General features: G+C 45.2%; 1 protein-coding gene across 1 annotated transcript in view, besides 1 other annotated feature; it reads left to right on the top strand.

The window, feature by feature from the left end:
• ZNF366 (zinc finger protein 366) overlaps positions 1–19,202 on the top strand; it is a 67,508-nt gene extending 48,306 nt beyond the window's left edge. The window contains exons 3-5 of the mRNA NM_152625.3: positions 2,510–2,701; positions 11,688–11,862; positions 14,814–19,202. Of these exons, the coding sequence (NP_689838.1) occupies positions 2,510–2,701; positions 11,688–11,862; positions 14,814–15,349 (903 nt within the window). The 3' untranslated portion in view covers positions 15,350–19,202. The remainder of the gene's footprint in view (positions 1–2,509; positions 2,702–11,687; positions 11,863–14,813) is intronic.
• Positions 20,731–20,820: a silencer, noted in NCBI's record as "silent region_16081". NCBI's record gives its function as "represses an Ori minimal core promoter by ATAC-STARR-seq in GM12878 lymphoblastoid cells {active_cell/tissue: GM12878}" and the evidence as "EXISTENCE:reporter gene assay evidence [ECO:0000049][PMID:35858748]".

Raw genomic sequence — 21,924 nt, 5'->3', positions numbered from 1 at the left:
CTCTGCACAAACAGCTCCTGCCCTACAAAAGGTACCTGTAGATACTATCCAGAGGGGAGTCGCCTGCCAAGTGCAGGAACCATCAACAAAGGACCCAGACTGGGATTCAGCCGTAAAGGGGACCATTCGCTAACTTCAGGGGCTCCTTTATATGTGGGAAAGGAATCAAAAGTGCATTTTAGAGCATATGAAGATCCTGTAAGATGGTAGAAAATGAAGTCAAAATGGGAGAAACAGCCTGGTGTCTGAAATAAGTTTCATTTGAATTTTAATTAAAACAAAATACACTTTAATGAGAGGTGTCAGCAAACAGTGAGAGGTAGTATTTGTTGAACACTTGCTATATGACAGGTGTTTCACTCTTCATTTAATCCTCATTTACTTCTCAACAACTCTAAGAGCTACTCCCGATCTGCAGTTGAAGACACTGAGGCATGGGAGGTCACTCAGGAATCTCTGACACAGGCACCTGTGCCTTGGCCACTCTACAGTGAACACTTCCTCTTTTCCACCTGCTTCCCTGTTCGCACCCCTGACCACCTGACAGGCTCCGACTCTGTGATTCCACTGATCCTATCAGAGAGACAACAGCTTCCTTTGTTGCCTTAAAGTTGTGTCCAGGCTCCTGCTCATTTGCATTCTAGGCCAGCCCACAGGTGAATCTTACTTTGGACACAGAATTCTCTTTAAAGAATTCTGAAAACAGTGATAAGCAGAAACGTCTCCTTGGTTTCAGGACAAATGGATCAGATCCAAGCCCAGAGAAAATCTTGAGAGAAGAAAGATGCTGGCCGGGCGCGGTGGCTCACGCCTGTAATCCCAGCACTTTGGGAGGCCGAGACGGGCGGATCACAAGGTCAGGAGATCGAGACCATCCTGGCTAACACGGTGAAACCCCGTCTCTACTAAAAATACAAAAAATTAGCCGGGCATGGTGGCGGGTACCTGTAGTTCCAGCTACTCGGAAGGCTGAGGCAGGAGAATGGCGTGAACCCAGGAGGCGGAGCTTGCAGTGAGCCGAGACCACGCCACTGCACTCCAGCCTGGGCAACAGAGTGAGATTCCGTCTCAAAAAAAAAAAAAAAAAAAAAAGAAAGATGCTAAAATAAAATTTAAAATCCATTAAGAAAATGTTTTTCATTAATTTTATAATCTTAAACTCAGTGTTTGAATATGCACTACATTTTAAAGATTCATCTCCATAGGCAGAATCAAAATTTAATTTCTAAAGGAGGTTGATTTCTAGGTCTCCTTATTAACATAAATGCATACTCATGTACCATCATCTGGACTAGACAGTGCTTGAGTTAGAAAGAACCCCAGGGTTCTCATGACCCACCACTTCATCTTGTGATGAGAAGCCTTCACTAAAAAAGGCCACACGACTCATCTAAGGTTTTACAGCCAGTAAACAGCTGGGCAGAGACCTGAATCCACCATTTAGTACCATGGGCCCACCAGAACTGCAGAGTGGTTCTTTCTTACCATGCCTCAAAGTAAAGAAATGGAAACATAGACAGAGAGAGTCAGAGATGAGCTTGGAATCCCTCCTTCCCTCCTTCAGCCACTATGAATACCAGGCAATATGGATTTCATCAGGTACAGTTGTTAACTAAGTAACTTGTTCTAATCCTATGATAACCTTCAGTTTAGTGCCCTGGTTCTCTAAATTTTTCTTCCCAAAAGTCATTCAGGGTCAAGACCTCTTGCAAAGGCCTTTGTGGGGAAGCAATGGATAGTCAGGATTAGTGAATGCCCGGCTCAAGCTGTGAGTCCCTGGAAATGCTCTCAATTAAGGGCCTTGGTTCAAACACACCTTCATGCACAGCAAGGAAACAAGAAAGCCTCCTGTCCTGTTCCTTAATTCAGAAAGCTACCTCTTGCCAAATTTCTTTATAAGAAGGAGCTGGCTTAGGGAAGGCTCCATAACCATGTCATTGTGGAGGTCAGTGTGGCCTGTGGGAACCCAGGGGACCAACTTGAGAGGGTGATTATCAAGTTGTAATTTAAGTTGTAATTTACTGCAGTGTGGATATAAGTTGTTCTGGGATTTTCAAGTCCATTAATGAGAACCCAAGAGAACATTGGTTTCCATAAGGGAAATGATAATATCATTTTGGAAGATTTTTTTTTCATTATCATGAAAGCTGGATTATGGACTCATATTGCATATCAGCCCATAGTGCTCTTACTAAAAGCCTGTTAATCCTCAAGAACTATCACTGGAGACTTAACCCCAGCAGCAGCTGGAACAACAAAAGCAAGAGCTTTCTTTTCCTCTAATAGTCTGGCTAGTTTATGGTTTTCAGAAGGAAAAAAAAGGTTATATAATCAACACTTTTCAAGAAAATAGTAATTTAACAAGGCTGAAGCTACACCATTTGAAACTCAACATCTATCACCAAGCTCTTTGTGGATTTATGTGGCAGAGAGGAAAATGAAGCCTATGATCCTGATGAAAGCATGTTACCTGTCAATCACCACTTTTCTGAATCTTGCCTCCCTGCAGGGTGTGAAGGAGCATAAGTGTGGGATTTGTGGGCGGGAGTTCACCCTGCTGGCCAACATGAAGCGACACGTGCTGATCCACACCAACATCCGCGCCTACCAGTGTCACCTCTGCTACAAGAGCTTCGTGCAGAAGCAGACCCTCAAGGCACACATGATCGTCCACTCTGACGTGAAGCCTTTCAAATGCAAGGTGGGCAGTGGGACTAGAGAGGAACCAGAGGGTTGTGCAAATGCCTGATGGGAAAGGGTCCCCAGGGAGCCTTCTACTCTGTTTCATCAGTGGGGCTACGGGGGCTCAGAGTAGGTCCGTGGCCAACCCCAGGTCCCATCTGCCACTCTATCCCTCTCTGCACGCCCCACTTACATCATGCCAGGCTGGAGGTCCCTAAGGAGCCTGCCCTATTTGTCTCACTGTGGCATCCATGCCCAGGGGTAGAGCCAGGCACTAGGGAAAGGTCTGAGGGTGGAAGGCCCTTTTGGAGAAGGAGGCTGTTAAAGGATGCAAGTAATGTGGAGAGCCTTTGTTCTAGAGAGGAGAAGGCAAGTTTAGCCTTCTTCTCCTTACAAGGCAATGAGCAGGACATAGAAAAGAGTCAGAGAAGCTTCTAGCACAGCTTCCCCCCCACCCACCGCCACCTCCTCTCCTCTCCTTGCCTCTTGACACTTGGGCTGAGCCATATGTTTAGTTTGAGGGCAGGCCTCCTAGAGACGGTGAGAGGGATTCCAAAGCTAGCCCCTCAGAGGCCCTCAGAAATGCTTGCTGGGGCTGTGGAATAACTGCGAGCACAGTCACTTCAAGTGCCTTTCACCTATTGCTAAGTGCCATGTAGCACAGGGATGGAGCATCTTTGTTAAAATATCTGTTAGACTAATTTGGTTGGGTTTGTATTTCATCAGCCGAGAAAACGTGTGAGCTGGAGATTTGTAAAACCCAAGGCGCTGACGGGCATTACTCAGAAATGCTCCGGCTCCCCGAGGCTGTCCCCACCCCACAAGAGTGTTTCCTCTCTCTACTTCTAAAATGAGGAGAGAGCATTGGCCATGACTGGGTTTAATCCGAGTGATGTACTGGCCAAGTGTCATCCGGTCATGAAGAAGGCTGAGGGGGAAGAAGAGGGAAATTACCACATTCAGATATCGTTACAGCCCTTCTGTTTGAAATGGAGGTTTTTTCTCTCTGCTACTGGGTACCTAATCGGGTTCAAATGATACTCTGCTGATCTATATTCCTGAAGTGGGGTTCCCTGTTTCCAGGGACTGTTCCTGCTTTAATACCTCTGCAGTGTGGCCCCACTTGAAGGAATCCCCTGTGAAGCTGACTTCTTTCCTGTGTTGGCAACTCTTGGAAGGGGTGAGGGGTCAGACACCAGAGCTTCCCTAGACCTGTGTGGGCATTGTCCAGAGGTGGGAGAGGGAGGCTTCTCCCTCCAGCCCTTTTCCTGCCACCCACTTCTGTTTCCCCTCCTTTTCTTCATATTCCCAGTGGTTCGAAAGTCAATTTACATCCGTCTAAAGCAAGAATCAGCTTCATGCAGCACAGGCCACATATTTTTCAGGACTCAATGCAAAATGGAAATGCAAGGCTCCTTGTTCAAACATTACCAGGAGTTAAAGATGATGGAAGCAGAGCATTAAGCCAAACTCAGGAGCTTTCTGACTATGGGACCTTGTGTTGTATGCCCATGAAGTGAGGCCTTGGCTGCATGCAGCGATGGACTCCACGGCCTCCTCTTCTCTCTCTCTTTAGGGACTTCTTTCATTTCCTTCCCACTTCACTGAGCCCCCAGAGCACTTCACATTTCACAGAGCTGTTTCTTCTTGCAAAGGGTTTACTGTCTCCTACAATGGAGGTTCAAGCAGGTCTCTTTGCCATTCTTCATTCCTTGTGTTGAGTTTACTCTTGGGCTTCAAGCATTAACTGAATTTTTAATCTTATCAACTGATAGTGGTGGAGTCAAGTTGCTAAAATATGAAGAGAGCCATTAACATAGTTTATAATCCCCTGAAAATTCACATCTGTCAAGTTCAGCCATCTCCTACCTCCACCTCATCAATTCTGGTCCAGTAGCAGTGGTAAAACCAGGCAGAAAACGTTCCTGAAATATAGGGTTAGGTCAGGGGGCAAAGCCAGTGTAGGTTGTGTGTGGTTTGAGGGTACAAAGGCATTTCTGCTTCTCTACCCTCAGGGGCTTGGAGGACTTCTTGGACCAGGTAGTATCTGAGGATCTAGAGGGTTCTCTCTAGTATTAGTGCACAAGAAACTGCAAGGTGCTATGGAACCTGGGCCTTTGATGCAATGAGCAATCCCAGCTTGATGTTCAGGGCCTCCTTTCATGAACGATGGCTCCTTCCTGCTCCACTCCAATGATGGTGCATGTACATGGTCCAAAAGATGTTGGATGCTCAGCTTTACAGTTCAGAAACTATTTTACCCATTTCTTGAGGTTAGATGAGGCTCCATGTCTGGTCCACACCATCACAACCCATAAGAGAGTGGTTTATAAAGTAGAATGCCAGCTTTGAAACAATGCACAGCTTATATTTTACAATGGGAGAGATGGGCCTGGCACAGGAATTGGACTGGTCATTTGCAAAGGTTGCTTCTTCCTGTTGGTAAGTCCTCTCAGGAGACCTCACTAGAGGTCAGGAGGCTCCCTAGAGAGTGTCATCTATCATCAGACAAAAAGAATTGGATGTGAAAGGGCGTTCTTGTGAAGCAATGGAGAAGGTGGGCCTTCTCCATTCTTAGCCATTTGTGAAACAAGAATGAGTGTCAGCCACCTTGACTCACAGCCCTCTGTCTCTGAGACAGTGCTCAAAGCATACAGTCAGGGTCTTCCTCTCCCTGTCCCCATCTCCCATCAGTGTCACCCTGCTGGGTGCCCTCTTTGTACCATTGCCCTTCTTCATTTCAACAGACTTGCAGAGCATGTCTGGGTTTACAGATTATGTCACAAGGCTCTTTGCATTTGTAAACTAGCTCCAGGTCACATGGTGGCGTGAGCCATCTCAAGATGCTGTCCTGTGGTTCTTGCTTCCCAACTATGCTGTGCTAGATTCTTGGAAATTTGGCCTTGGTTGAAGGTTGTTGGGGATTTGGGAGTTGACAGAGGGATGGAGGGCCATTTGCCCATTGCAATGCAGTTCACAGCCATCTGAGAGACATGGCTGGCTGGCTGCTCCGTGGTGTTGGAGTACAAGCCAGGCAACTGAACTTGTGTTTTGTTGCCATAACAGGGAAGAGCCATCCACTTCATGTCTTGTGATTGACGTGGCTGGGCAGAAGAGGCAGTCTTCGTTCTCTCTCCTTTACCCAAAAACTCACAACAAGGAAGAGGCTTTTAGTAACAGAGTCTAATTTTGGGGGATTCTCACCATTAAAATTCCTTCTTAACATGCATCCTTCCTCCTGTCTCAATATGAACTGATCTTCTCCAGCCCAGTGCTCAGTGGAAACAGCTGTCCCTAGCACGCAGAAATGTTCACTCACTGTGGGATTAGGCATTAACAATAGGATGGAAAATTAGAGGAGAGGAAAGGTTTCCATTCCATGTTTCTTTTCTTTTTTTCCTTATAAAAAAGTTACTGCCCTTCTCGGCTCTTTTGCTGTTGGCTGGACTTTTGGACTCGTGCTTCTTGGAGCCAGCTGGAGTTTTTCCAGAGATCTGCGCCTGTAGACTTAAGCCACTTTTCAGAAATATGCTTCCCAGATTCTGGGTAAGCACACAGGGGTTGATTTGGAGCCTATCCTTGTAGTGGCCAAACTCCATAACAGCAAAGAACCAGCTGCCGTCTTCGGGAAACCTGTCCAGGAAAAACAGCCATCCAGAATTTCCGGGACAAATTCTCTTTTGAGATGGGTGAAGCCGGCAGCTGCCTAAGTTATGAATCACCAGGTCATCTGAAACCTTGTCTGTAGCAGAAGGCTGAAGGCCAGAGGGCAGAGCTGTCAGAATAGGGATGAGATCTCCCTGCAGAGGGGTTCCACCACTGTTGTCAAACTGGCTCCATTTTCCCCTCACTTTCTTTGACGCTCCAGGAAGGAAGAAACCAGATGGGGGGCTTTGAGGGGCCCAGTGTTTGGGGTCAGAGTTTTCAGGCTGGCATGGAGGGGGTTAAGGCAGTGACCAGATAGCAGCCTTTTGGCAGCAAAGCCCTCCTCAGCAGAAGGAAGGATATAGCCGTATGAACTGCCTGCTTAACAATGCCTCACATGTCCCCAGGGGACCGCCTGCAAATAGATTTCATCTTGCTTTCTCTTGTACTTTTCAAAGCTTCCTGTTTTCTCACGGTCCTTTTGGACAGTTTACAGTCTCTCTCTCCCTCCCTCCCTCTCTCTCCCTTTGAGGAAAGGAACACCCTTCTTATTAAAAGAGAGAGAGGGAGAAGAATGTGCGGGAAGGGCAGTTTCACGGAGGCCATTCTCCTCAGCTGCAGGCCACAGCTCTCTGACCTCTTCTCTCTGAATAGGAAAACACAGGCTTCCTGGTGCATCTCATTTTTAAAGCTCACACCAGGCTGGCTGGGGCGAGGCGGTGTGCTGCTTCTGGCCCCAGCCCAGTGGCTGCCCACTGCTATCACCCTGTCTCTGGCCACAGCCGACTTCTCCATGGCTGTCAGCATGGCCACTGGGGTTCATGGCAAGTGCCTGAGGTGCCTCCAGGCTCTGGACCAGGGAGGAGAAGGGTGCCAGGAGGCCGGGACGAGGAGGCCCGGAGCACACAGGCATCCGTCAGCTGTTCAAAGGGCAGACTAAGGATGGGGGAGCCAAATAACTCGGCCCTCTCCCAGCCCTGAACCTTGGATGAAGCCTCTTTTTCCATCCTCATTTCCTAGACCTGGGGCAGGCACAACCGCTTGCATTTCTACTACACTCCAAGTAGCCTGGTGGGTATATTTACTAAGCAGATTCCTCATTTGGCTCTTCCTTTAATATTCCCCTCATCTTCAAAGAGCTTTCCATTTCTGGAATGTAAAAGAATCTACTATATACACCATAATGATAGTAAAAAGAGCTAATATTTATTGAGCTCTTACTATTTGCCAAGTCCTTCTTGTGAATTATCTCACTTGATCCTCACAACAACCTTCATAGGAAACAATGACTATTATCAACATTATACAGAAGAGAAAATGGAGCAAGCTCTCTGTCCTTCTGTGTCTACACCTCCTCTCACTACTCTGACATCTCAAAGCCTAATAACCCATGCAACCCACGTTTAAAGGGCACTTTAAAATATTTTTTTCCATTTTTTATTAAATTTTGAAGTCTACCTCCATCTTAAAAAGCGGGTGGATGGAGAAGCTGAGATTTCATGTCAAGACACACTGACGGTGTTCCTTGGAGTGACCGAGAGGTCAAGCGGGGGCACGCTGGTGGAGATGCGCACCTGCGCAATGAGATCAGAGTCCTCACCACTCCAGCGGCTTCCTGAACCAACATCCACTCCTATTTTCATCTCCACAGACCTTGGCAGAGATGATTCAGCAGGTCCTGCTTGGGCACACTCTTAGCTTCACATCACATGATTTAAGGAGACCTTGACTTCAATGGCTGCTTTTCTCTGGAGAAGAACCTAGAGATTTGGTGGTCCTTCCTATCCATTCCTCCTCCCTCTCGTCTAACTCCCATCCCCTAGTGTGACAATTCTGCTTGGGGCTCACATCTCAGGCTCCACCCAAGAGCACTGTGATTCACTGGCCCCATCCTCTTTCTCTGGCCTCTCTTTACTAACAGTGTGTGAGAGGTTTCTCTCTTGAGTTTCACAGACATAAAATATCTCCATACACTTGGGTGTTTTCAGATGAGGACAATCTTCTGTGAAAGATGAGAAGGCCAAGTGTTCTGGATAAGAACCTAAAGGCTTGGTGGAAGGTCAGAGGCTGAGAGGAAGAAGCTAAGTACCTACCGCCCAGGTGTGAATGGAGCCCGAGTATCTCAGGTCCTGTGTTAATTGGCTCTATCCTTCTGCCACTGAGGAGTTTAGTTTGAAAACTAATAGGTTTTGTGGGAAAAGGATGAGAGCTGGTGATGGCTGCTTTTTAGAATTTTGCATGAAGTAATGATATTTCTCTGACTTGTTTATTTCCCCAACCAAAGACTTAGGCATTCAGAAGTGTACCATATGTGTAGTCCTGTGCTTGATACTGAGTTGGCTGCAAAGAAAAGGAAGTCAGCTCATTGGAGACTCCCTGGGATGCTGTTTAGAGCCCAGACACCATTTTACCAGGCGCTCACCCCTGTGCATGGAGTTGGGGAAGGGAAATAGATGGGACCTTGGGGCAGGTGAATTGCAAGGTCTACAGTACCCCAAGGTCCCAGAAGGTGTGGCAGCAACAAGAATTTGATCATTGTCACAATAGTAGTTACCTTACTTGTGGTGTAAGGTTGACTGAAGTGTCTGAAAATATCTTATGAAGAGACTTTATCTTTGTGTACAACAAACTGCACTCTACACATTTTTCACAGTTAGGCTAAAATTCCATCCCCTTTCCAAAACCTTCTCAGACCAGTTCAGTTTCTAAGGCTTCAGCAACCACAGATAATAACTGAAAGAATTTCTCTCATCATGCGAGCCAAGTGCAGAAGGTGCTTGTCACTTCTTTTCAATGACCTCTTTCTGGCCTATAGGACCACCAGACCCCGTTCATGCCTGGACTAGTGCAGTAGCCTAATTGATCTTCTGGCCTTCAGCTTCTCTCCCGCTACATGCCTTGTCCTTAACCACTCATGGCTTTTCCTTTGATCAATTCTTCCGTGGCTATGTTTCCCACCCCTTTCCTCACTCAGCAGATGCTTACTGAGGAACTATGATGTGTCACGCCAATACTAGGCAGATAATAAATAAAAAAGCAGGCAAAGCTTTAATGCATGTTGCAGTCTCCTGAGTGAGAACATATCTGAACCAAATACTGGTTATACTCAGCAATTGTAACAGCAGCTTCACTCCAAATAACCAGGAACCATCCCACAATCCAAATGAGGTAAGCTTTTTCTAAAAATGACCCGTGACTGGAAATCCCTAATGTAGAATCTCTAGGTTCAAAGCTTCTTTTTGGCCTGGCATGGTGGCTTACCCCTGTAATCCCAGCACTTTGGGAGGCTGAGGCGGATGGATCACTTGAGGTCAGGAGTTTGGGACCGGCCTGGCCAACATGGCCAGAGATCCCCATCTCTACTAAAAATACAAAAATTAGCCAGGCGCCTGTAGTCCCAGCTACTTGGCAGGCTGAGGCACGAGAATCACTTGAACCTGGGAAGTGGAGGCTGCAGTGAGCCAAGGTGGCACCACTGCACTCCAGCCTTGACAACAGAGCGAGACTCCATCTCAAAAAAAAAAAAAAACCTTTCAGCCATGATGGTGGAGAAGTGGGCAAATTAAGCTAATAAATACAACTCTAATAGAACTTTTATACATGTGCATGCTGAGCCACAGATTGATACATCTTAATAAATTATCTCAATTGAGAATAAAAGAGTCATCTATCTTACATATTGCTTTTCTTGAGAAAGTTGGAATTAGACCAATTCTGTCATCCTTTTCCCCTCTTAGGTCACCATTTTCAAATGAATGTGGTGTGCAGGTGCTCTGTCTGGATGCTGAGCTTGGAACCCCACCCTGTAGGCCAAATTCATTCATGCTAGTAAGAGAGAGCAAAAGTGAGGAAAGTACTTACAATTCTCAAACATGAATCATTCAAGAATACAGAACCAGCCATTTATTATCCATACATGGACCCAGCATTCTTCTACGCTAAACTCCCCAAATCATCATTTGAGAGGTCTATCTACTCTTTCAAGACGAGCTCAACACTCATCTCCCATAGCCAACTAATGAAATTATTGCCTTCATTAATAAAAATTAGTCCAGAATCCCCAGCATTGGCCCTAAAAATATATCTCAGTGAGAAAGGAAAACTGGTGTAAGCCTCAGAGGATGCCTCACCCTGAGTGTCTCTGTGGCCTCTCTCACTACATAGTGCAGCCCCAGCTCCACTGGCCTCTGAGGTTGGGGAGGGAAGGAGAATTCTCCTCCCTTAACATTCTTGTCCAATCACAGACACAAAATCACTGTTTGCATTCCTCCTGCCACAGCCAAGGAAGGGCTGAAATTGTCCTGTTCTAGTAAGGCTTGGGGACAACAAAAGCACCCCCAGAGAAGTCTGCTTCTGGGTTGCGCTTTCTGCATATACAAAATCACCTGTGAGAAGAAAGTTCTGCTCCTCTTCCAAAAGCAGTTGGAGAACCAGTTGTCCTTCATGTATTTGCACTTTGATTGAAATAGAGAGAATGACGAGAAAGAAAGAAAGAGTATAAAACATGCTTACTTCCTGTACACCTGAGATACTACTCTCACTACTTCAAATTTCTACCCAGAGAAAAGACACACTCCTTCCTTAGATGATTTTTCATTTTTTTATCTTTGAAATCCATGCCAGTAATTAGAAAATAAAGCAACTTAAAAAGCATTGTCTGATACATTGTATACAATAATACAGTGTATTATAATAATACATTGTATATAAGAATACAGTGTACTCTTTTATTCTCTTCTGCCTGATACAGAAGAGTTGTGTTGGGAGACGCACAGTATGGTCTGGTGGTTGACCATGTGTTCTCTGGCATCTGATGGCCTGAGTTCATTAACCCAGCTTCAGCACCCACCACTTGTATGCCTCGGCCAAGTGACGTAAGTCCTCAGATTGTGCGTCTGTAAAATGGGGGTGGTAATAGCAACCATCTCATATGATTGGTGTGAGAATTAAATAAGATATTCCATGGTAGACTTAGAACAATGCCTTCCATATTGCAAATGCTGCATAAATATTAAACACATAATCACATTCTTATTATTAAAGGAGGAACACTTGTAGCCACTGCTTTTTAGATCAGCTCTTCTCCTTTTCAAAAGCTTTTATTCAAAAGAAGCTTTACAAGCTTTGATATTTTTACTTTGAATTTAAAGATCTCTGAAATCCAGGAACAAATCTCATGAATCTACCCCTACTTGCTCCACCTCTGAGGCTCCTTCCTGATTTCCTTATGGACATTTTCCTTGCAAGCAGATTAAAATGTCAATGTCCAAACAAAGTAGAAACGGTATCTGTGCTCCAGGGGCCTGGATGGGGCTTCACTCGGGCAGAGTAACCTGTGTTCTCATCCCCATCTTCAACAGCTTTGTGGGAAGGAATTCAACCGGATGCACAACCTGATGGGCCACATGCACCTGCACTCAGACAGCAAACCCTTCAAGTGCCTCTATTGCCCAAGCAAATTCACCCTGAAGGGGAACCTGACACGCCACATGAAAGTCAAGCATGGAGTCATGGAGCGGGGCCTTCATTCCCAAGGTAATCACTCTTCTGGGAAGCCCTGCAAGTCAGTCCAGTGGACAACAAATGGGAGCTGAATTCGTTTTATGGGGCATTACCTTGAGGGTTATTCTTGTCAAGACCACAGCAGAGTAGCAAGAGTAACCTTATAATGTTACTAGAAAAAATCTGATGCTAATTTCTGACATAGTAAGTACAAGTGAATTAGAGTAAATTGGACTATCATCATGATGCCAGTCGGTACCATTATTTGTTCCTTTGTTCCAGACACTACATCAGGTGGCTTGTCGCTAATATTCATGGCAACTCCAAGCTGGAAGAACTTCTATTATTTCTATTTTACAGCGGGGGAATGAAGGCTTCAAGAGATCAATTTGCCCAAAGTTGCTCTGCTGAAAAGTGGCAGAGTCAAGATTTGAACCTAGGCCTTTCTGACTGTGCAGCCTTTATTGTATCCTCTTCATGACTTTGCTGTGAATGGGCACGCAATTTTTCTTTCCTTTTTAGAAAACAGATGTGCAAGCCTTACTGTTAGCAGAAGTATGTTGGTAGCAGGCTAGGTCTTTCCTACTTGTTCACAATCAGACACACCCAAGGACAATTTTCCTGCTTGGTAGGTAGGGCTGATTGGCCCATATGCAGAGCAGGGGTTTACACCTCCCCCACTGAATCCTCACTGAACTAATGAAAAGTTCTCACTGCCTTTACCTTCTCAGTCCCAGAGCCCTTGGCAGTGAAGAGTTTATGTTCCAGATCTACTCAATTCAGCAGGGTTGCTCCTTAATCGTCTAATCAACCAGCCCTTCAATAAACAGGCAATAAATGCACTTGTGTCCAAAGCAGTGAACTACACGCAGCGGCAGATACTAGGGGAAGGAGACCATCTGCCCTCTAGGATGTCTGTGTTTGCAAAATCATATTAACAGCTTTTCGGTCACTAGTATGATCAAAGCACAGGGTGAGACACCTTAGGGACATTATTGCTTGGCCCTACAATGCCGTGAAAGAGACTGTGTTATTCTCATTTTATATAAGAGGAGACCAAGGCCTAGAGGTGTTAGATAAACTGCTCAAGGTCAAACAGCAAGTCTGAAGACAGAACTGGGATTCCAGCCCAATTTCTGAATCAAGCCAGTGCTCACTACCCTAGGCAGAAACATGGGGTGATTTGTTTATGTGCTGTTTCACTCACCTCCTTACAAAAGAGATGGTGGAGTGGACAAGCATATTCATAAACAGATAGACATATGCACACACAGTGTGAAACAAAATGATTGTAGCTTTCAGGTTTTTTACAGTACCCGCTGAGTTTCTAGTGACTCCTGGATAACAGGGAGCTGTGGTCACAAAAAAAGGGCTGGAGTTTGTGCAAAAGCCCTGAAAAAAATTGTAGTTAAAACAAAAACAATTTTATTTTTCCTGCAAAAGTTTTTCCCCTGAATTATTCACTGAATCTCTAGTTGCCTGAGCCACTTCCCCAAGCTAGACCTGGATTTTTCCGGAAGCGGTGAGGTTTGCTCTGTCATCAGGACGGGAGACATACAAGTCAGTGAGGAGACCACACTCCAACTGAAAGCATGACCTGGTCGCCATGATTTACCCCACACTGCTGCTCAAATCCTAAAAGACACCTAACAGCTCTGTTGTTCTGGAAAAATAACTATCAGAGGGTTGCTTTGAAAAATTTTAACAGACTTTCAACAATCTCAGTGTTTTCATCTACAAAGGGTATTAGCTTTTATTTTTCACTCTAGCTTTTGAAATGGCTCAAAAATCATTAAAAAGATCTTTCCTGTCCCCTGACAGGATTAAAGATACAGACAGCTTCATTGCCTGACAGCATCAAAAAGTGAACAAAATTGGACATCATCGCCCCTACCCTTCTTTTTTCACCCCCTCCCAGAAGCCTGGTCTGGCTGCACCCCAGGACCCCTCCCTTCCTGTTGCTCCTCCTCAGTGTCCCGCCCATCCCTGGAGGCCTGACTATTGGCTCATCAAAGGTCAAAGCCTTAAAGACAGGATCAAATGAAACTGCCATGCTGAAAAGCCCATCCCTACAGCCCTGCAAACTGAAGGCAAAAGTGAGGCCTCCTTGAATCACTGTGCCCAACAGCAGGGACACTGGAGGTCAGACACAGGGGCTGTGTGAGCTCCTCAGAGGACCTCTTCATGCCATCTCTACCCTGTCTATGAGTAGGCTGTTGGCAAAGGGGCCACAGTCAGGGGTGGTGTCTGCTGCCCCAAATAGGTTCTCTTTGTTTTGTTCAAGATGAAAATGGCTTTATTATTGATTTACTTTTGTTTATGATAAAACATATGCTCATGGTAAAAAATAAAACAATAATACATTAAAAGTGAAAAGAGAGTGTTCATTAATTTAAGATTTTGACATCCCTCCTTCCAAATATTTTTTAATAGAAATGGCTAGCTAGATAAAATCAGGTCTGCACTATAAATAAATACACACACACATACTTACATATATTTTTGTTTTTACTTAAAATACATAGCAAATATCTTTTTGTGATCATTAGTAGGTCTCTACATCCCCTATGCATAATTTGCTATATGGATATATCATTATTTATTTAACCAAACTCCTATTATTAAATACAAAGTTTTTTCATTGTTTGACTGTGATAAAAAAAAAATATGGTGATATGCATCCACACAGTGTTTTGTGCACCTGCCTGCCTATTTTTTCAGTTTAAATTCTCAGTAGCATAATTGCTAAGTCAAAGCTTATTTTTAAAGCTTTTGGTGCATGTTGCCAAATTCACCTTAAAGGGATTAAACCGATTTGGACACTGTCTGTTACAAGCCTCCCAAGACCACATCCTTACTGGGAATGATCTATTTTTAAAATACGCATCGGAATACATTAAACGGCCCCGGGCTGCTCCCCTTCCTCAAGGTCCCATTTCCACAGCATTTCCTCAGGTGCATGAATTCTTACTCTGCTCTTGCAGGTCTGGGAAGGGGGAGAATCGCCCTGGCACAGACAGCCGGTGTCCTGAGGAGTCTGGAGCAGGAGGAGCCCTTTGACCTCTCTCAGAAGCGCCGGGCCAAGGTGCCGGTGTTCCAGTCAGACGGGGAGAGTGCCCAGGGCAGCCACTGCCACGAGGAGGAAGAGGAGGATAACTGCTACGAGGTGGAGCCCTACAGCCCTGGCCTGGCCCCCCAGAGCCAGCAGCTCTGCACACCCGAGGATCTGTCCACCAAGTCGGAGCACGCCCCCGAGGTGCTGGAGGAAGCCTGCAAGGAGGAGAAGGAGGATGCATCCAAGGGAGAATGGGAGAAGAGGAGCAAGGGTGACCTTGGGGCAGAGGGCGGCCAGGAGAGAGACTGTGCCGGCAGAGATGAGTGTCTCAGTCTCAGGGCTTTTCAGAGTACCCGGCGGGGCCCCTCTTTTTCTGATTACTTATACTTCAAGCACAGAGATGAGAGTTTGAAAGAATTACTGGAGAGGAAAATGGAAAAACAAGCAGTGCTTTTAGGTATCTAAGTGGACAGTTTTAAAATTACATTTGGAAAATGAGAAGGAGGCAGTTCAAATATAGCTTTCTGCATGAACTGTCATTTTCTGGAGACTGGCGAATAGTACCAATCTCTACAAATGGCTTAGACTAAATGAGCAGGGATGTAGGTAATGGAAAGCCTTCTCAGGTCATTCACGGGGCCCTTGATACCCTTCACACATGTGCAGGGTCTTCATCAGTGGCGTTTTATGCATTGCCAGTATAATAAACTGTGAGTATTCTTCCAGATATCTAATTGTAAGCTGATGCTGAGGTGCTTTTAGAAATTCTACTTTCCTTTGATTCATATGCAATACATGGTAAATTTCTAATTGCAAAAATATGGTGCTTGAGGTGTCACCTTATTAATAACTATTTAGGTGAATTTGTGAAGGTTATAATATTTTCCATATAGATGAAAATATTAGTCGTCATATATATAAAAATAGCCTTTATTCTATAACCAAAAATGTCAGAAATGGCACAGGAGGATGAGCTATTGAAGAGAATGCTCTCCAGTAGTTGCTGCAGATATAAGGTAAAATTTCAGGAGAAGAATAATTTTGACTAAGGGAAACTGGTGACCTAGAATACTTAGATTCTCTTGTTCTGTGTCGGCTGTCTTCATCAGATTGAGCATTTGGAGCATTATTTTTCAGATGATATGATGATGTTTGGGGCCCTGGCTCCTCAGACAAACCCTCACTTCTCGAGCACGGCTCCCTCCTGGAGACCATTGCTGTCTTGCTCTGAGGCCTCATGCCCCATAAGACAGATGCAGGGGCCGGGCGCAGAGGCTCACGCCTGTAATCCCAGCACTTTGGGAGGCCGAGGCAGGCAGATCACTTGAGGTCAGGAGTTTGAGACCAACCTGGCCAACGTGGCAAAACCCCTTCTCTACTAAAAATACAAAAATTAGCCAGGCATGATGGCAGGAGCCTGTAGTTCCAGCTACTCGGGAGGCTGAAGCAGGAGAATCGTTTGAACCCAGGCAGTGGAGATTGCAGTGAGCTGAGCTGAGATCACGCTACTGCACTACAGCCTGGGTGACAGAGTGAGACTCTGCCTCAAAAAAAAAAAAAAAAAAAAAAGGACAGATGCAGGAAGACTTGTCACCAGTGACCAGGGGGCTTTCTCCTCAGAGCTAGAGCTGGGGGGGTGACCTCAGAGAATTCTCCCAGAAATCTAAGCTCTGACTTATTTGGGGTACTAGAATAGTTGACAGCAAATCATTAGTAAAGAAGACTCTGGACTGTGTTTTCAGTGCTGGCTGTACATTAGAAGCATCTGGGGTGACCTTTAAAAAAAAACCACCAAACCAAGGCCTTACCCATTAAGATTCTGATTTAATTGATCTGGAGTGGAGCCCTAGGACTGAAATTTTCCAAATTGCTCCTGGCAATTCTTATGTGCAGCCAAGATTGAGAAGATTGAGGGGACTAAAATAGAACTCACCATTTCTGTGGCTTCCAGGACACTTCCCAGAGACTTCATAAGTATTTCTGTTCCTAGCCTCAGACTCTTTAAGGTTGAGAATAGGAGACCTCACAATCATACTGCTGACTTAGGCTTTCTTACCTGTCTGTAAGAGCCTTATGAGCGGACACACACAGTCTATATATAGATACACACTTTTTACATTATACTAGAAGATGATGCCTGTGATGTTTATGGTCACTTACTATGTTTAAAAAATGCATGACTGGCCTATGGTGACTCATTATTTCTTCCCAGATGCTTGAACCATGATGCCAGTGAGTGGAAATGACTCTATTGGGTGGGATGGGCCCAGCAGGTCAGACTTACTTAGGCACTGGCACTGAGAAAAGCAATACTGACTGGGTGTCGTGTACGTGTGACTGCCCATAGCAATAACCCTCTGGTACTGTGTCTGTTTATGTAAAAACTTCTTGTTTGGTAGTTTTGACTCGTATTTGTAGAGCTAGGTACTGGTTATTATTGTGCTTCATCCTATCCCAGATTTCCCAGTACATTCCTTTAGAAGACATGTCCATCTCCAACTGCTGGGGGCTGGCCTTTTCTGTAGGCCAAGGTGCTGCCCCATTAGCCCCACCTGGTTGTCATCACTCACCCATGTGTTGTGTCCATCTCTGACCCATTTCCCCTGCCACCTTGCCTAAAGCTTCTCCTGTCAGCCTCCCCACCACCATGAAGTGCTAAGAGTACTATGTCCTGAGGTAAGGGCACCTGCAACGGAGATTGTGAAGAGAAGACTGTGGGTTTCTGTGGTTACAAGCACAACTCTGGGTCAAAAACCCATTCCAAGTCCTCAGAGGGGCAAGTCCCTTCCATTCAGTATTAATATAGCTCATCAGTGCCTCTGATGAAATTGCCCAGGATGCTGGCAGTGTGGCCTGGGAGGCTTCCAGCTCTTGGGGTCTGGTTACACATTTATTCACACTGCGGCCATGTGTTGAGGACCTACTATGTGCTGTGTTTGACCACACGTCCTGTAGAATGCCGTTTGGTTCTGAGTATGCCTGGCTGGAATGGAAACCAGGAAATTCTAGAGTAACAGGCTCTAGTCCTTTCCAACCAAAACAAACCTCATGGGAATGTTTGAGGGACCAGTTAATGTTGAGACAGAGAGAGTATGGTCTAGAATGGTGGTTTTCAGATTGTGTTTTGAGAAGCCAGAGGTCATCTTTAGGCCTCTGAAGAGTGGTAAGGGGAGGAGAAGCTCTCAACTCCCACACCCACCTCACTCCAAGCAGCTCAAGTTCCATCTGATTTATACATTAGCATTCTAAGTAAAATTTTATTTGGAGGCAGTAAAAAGGTCTAGGAGAAATAAAAACAATTTGTTATGGAGTGTATTCCAGGGCCTGTTTTTAGTTGTTGACTCTGGGCATAAGACACTTAATTAGATCTAACCTGATGGTTAATACAGCATTAACCTGAGCACCAATGCTAAAACATTGGTTTTGTATGCTGTTGAGTGACCAACATCCTGGTTTGCCTGGGATGATCGTGGTTTAGACCTGTTGTCCCAGGATAATTATTCAAGTGTCACCTTAATTCTCAAAAGTATTCCAGTTTGGGTGAGAAATTACATGGACACTTTATGCAAGAGCACAGAGTTAAGGGAAGGGTTGGCCAGCCTTGCCTAATGAGCTGATGAACCAGAAGGCAAGCCTTGAAGGAGAGTCCATGTGGGCCATCTCAGAGAACTAAGGGATGAAGCCTTCCAAGATTACCAGCATTCCAAAACCAGAATATCATATTGTGAGACTCTGAAAATAGGTCACTACCAAATGCTTTCCAGCCTTTTGACCACTGTCACTTTGAACAAATCAATGGACCAGCAAAGTGGCATATTTTTCTTTTATTCTTTTTATTCTTTCCTATGATTACTCCTCATGTTACCTTTCAATTCCTCTTTCTGTCTCTCTTTTTAAAAATTTGACTCCCCACCGGCCATGAGACTAAGGCTGACCTTTCATAAACCCACAAGAGTAACTGGTATATTTGTATATGAGTAGTTGCATGAGAAAGCTCAATGTGCATACTGTATTTATTAAGCCCTGAACGCATTTAATAAAATATTAACATGGTGTTTTGAATTATGATCTTTGTCTGCTTTGCTGGAACAAAATATAACAGAGCTAACGTTTGAAATCCTTCGCATATTTGGACAACATTACACCAAATGTTGATTTTGTACAGAACTCTGGCTTGCTATTTAAAAACTAAAACTCTAAGTATATAGCAGCCCAAGTTGTGAATATTGCTTTCTGCTTCACTGAAAAAGCAGTTTACCTGAAAAGAGCATGTAACCTATATTTTGTTAATTTAAGCAAATAAAGACATGTTGAAAAAGCTGAGTTAATTATTTGCAGATAACTGAAATTTTGCAAGGAAGCTGACATTGTCAACATCTCACTCCTTCCATTATACCCTCGGCCAGGGTGGTTCCCAGTGCTTGACTCCTCAGCCCCAGGGATACAAGTGTGTTGGATTCTCCCTCTCTCAGGCTTCAGAAAGAGAAGAATGAATTTCAATCTATCTGCAGGAAGGTGACATCTTCCTCATCCTGTTGCCCTTTCCTATTCAGAAAAAAAATTATTCTGGAAGGATGTCACAGGCAAGTGGGAGGTGAAGGCAGGATTGTCTCATTCTGCCTCACATTCTTTGTAAAATAAAGTTCAACAAAGAGGCAGTAGACGCTATAAGCAAAAGCCCAAATTCTGCTCCCAGGTGGCCTGTGTTCAAAGCCCAGCTCTCCCACTTCCAATCTTTGGGACCTCAGACCAGTTCATGAACCACTTTGCACCTCATTTCCTTATCTGTGAGATGGGACTAGGAACTCTACCTTTTTCACTGGGTTGTTGAAATGACTTAAAACATGCAAGACACTTGGAATGTGCTGGGCTCACAGTGATGCTGAGTTAAGAATTAGGCACTGCAAGGTCGGGCACAGTGGCTCACGCCTGTAATCCCAGCACTCTGGGAGGCTTAGGTAGGCAGATCACAAGGTCAAGAGATCGAGACCATCCTGGCCAACATGGTGAAACCTTGTCTCTACTAAAAATACAAAAATTAGCTGGGCGTGGTGGTGCGTGCCTGCAGTCCCAACTACTCGGGAGGCTGAGGCAGGAGAATTGCTTGAACCTGGGAGGCAGAGGTTGCAGTGAGCTGAGATCGCGCCACTGCACTCCAGCCTAGCTACAGAGCGAGATTCCGTAAAAAAAAAAAAAAAAAAAAAAAAAAAGAATTAGGTACTGCGATTGTCAACAATGTGGCCAGAAGACTGAGCACTCAGCTTCCTGTCCTCAGCAGAAACCTCACAAAGTTGTGTCAGCATGGGGGACTGTCCATTCTTGGGGAGCTTCCCTTTAAAACAGCAAAACTGCAGCACATATTGAACACTGTGATATACCAAGCACACTGTGCCAGGTGGTTTACATAGTCGCATATGTATGTATATGCCCCAAATTACCTAGTTAGCAAGTTTCTCCTTTGTCTGTAGCAGGCAAAGCATATAGCCTATAGCCTGTTGGGTTCTCTGGAAGCAGATGCTGAGACAAATTTGGATGGAAGCTACTTATTAAGGATGAACACCAGTAAAAAGAGGGAAGAGGAAAGAAAGATTGAGCAGAGGAAGAAAGCAACCTGCAGTGCAGCCCTGACAAAGCCTCAGCCAGCATGGTGGGCAGCTCTGGGGCAAATGTTGCCCATCAGAGTTGTGCCAATTTGAACCGAAATGTCCATTCCTCTACACCCCTGCCTGGCTCAGTCACCAGATGTGGGCTTCCCCAGGAAAGGTGTGACTCTCTGCAACTGAGGCAGACCCCGAAGGAGCTGGCAGGTGGAGGCTGTCTGCCAACTGCACTCTCATAGCTCAGGTGCAAGTGCTTCCTTGAAGAGAGACTAGGTGACTCATCTCTGCCTCACCCCAGTCCACTTATTCATGCATATTCATGAAGCATCTCCTGCAGGTTCCAGTGGGCTTCTCTTCTCGATTGAAAACTTAGAAGAGAAGGTGACCACAAATTTCAGCCCCCACAGCTGCAATGAATCTAGGGACCAAAACTGATACTCATTTTCTCTTTCTCCATTACCCAGTCTAGACTCCCCTCACCATCAGATACCACCTCTGGCAGTCTTGGTGGTTTTCCTAGTGATTTCATCCAGGTTCTCATCTGCAAGAGGTCTGAGCCCTTGTCACCATGCTACTATGGACTGAATATTTGTGTCCCTCCAAAATTCATATCTTGAAACCATAATCCCCAATGTGATGGTGTTTGGAGGTAGGGTCTTTGGGAGGCACTTAGGTTTGGATTTAAGTTATGTATGGGGCCCTCATGATGTGATTAGTGCCCTTAGACGAAGAGGAGGAGACTAGGCCTTCTCTCTCTCTCCCATGTGAGGATGTAGCAAGGCAGCTCTCTGCAAACCAGGAACAGAGCCCTCACCAGACATTGAATCTGCCTGCATCTTGATGTGCACTTCCCAGCCTCCAGAATTGTGAGAAATAGATGTTTGTTGTTTTAGCCACCCAGTCTATGGTGTTTCGTTACAGCAGCTCATATGCTATTTGACATATGCCTTTTGCGGAATAAGGTTGCTGTGCCTGTTCATTTAACATCACAAGTGGGCCAGGAAGTATCAAAATGAGCCTAAGTAGGTCGTTGGGTTCAATACTATACTTCCTGACCCACTGTAACAACAGCCCTACTTCCTCCTGATGATCAGGTCAATTACCTCTGCCAAGATGGTGATTGTCTTCTCCTTGTCTTCTGTACCCTGGAGGCAAGGAATAAAAGTGTCCAGGTGGCAGCTGTGGCTTATAATTTAATGATACTCTTGCTATGTTCCAAGGTGAAAGTGTACCATCTTTGAGAATGGGAGTTTCTAACCCTGCAGAGCCCAGAGTTACATGATAAGAAGTACAACACCACCACCCCCTGCAACCCGCCAATCACCCCAGAGTGTTATTGGGAGTGATGGCAAGCGGGGCCACTCCCACTTCCTCTCCTGGTCCCTGGACCTATGCAGTCTTTCTATTAGGACATAGCAGCACATAAAAGTCTTTGATTCA

This window comes from Homo sapiens, chromosome 5, assembly GCF_000001405.40.
Source record: "Homo sapiens chromosome 5, GRCh38.p14 Primary Assembly".
Lineage (NCBI taxonomy): Eukaryota > Metazoa > Chordata > Mammalia > Primates > Hominidae > Homo > Homo sapiens.
Note: the sequence above shows the minus strand (reverse complement) of the source record. Positions and strands in the feature narration are given on the sequence as shown.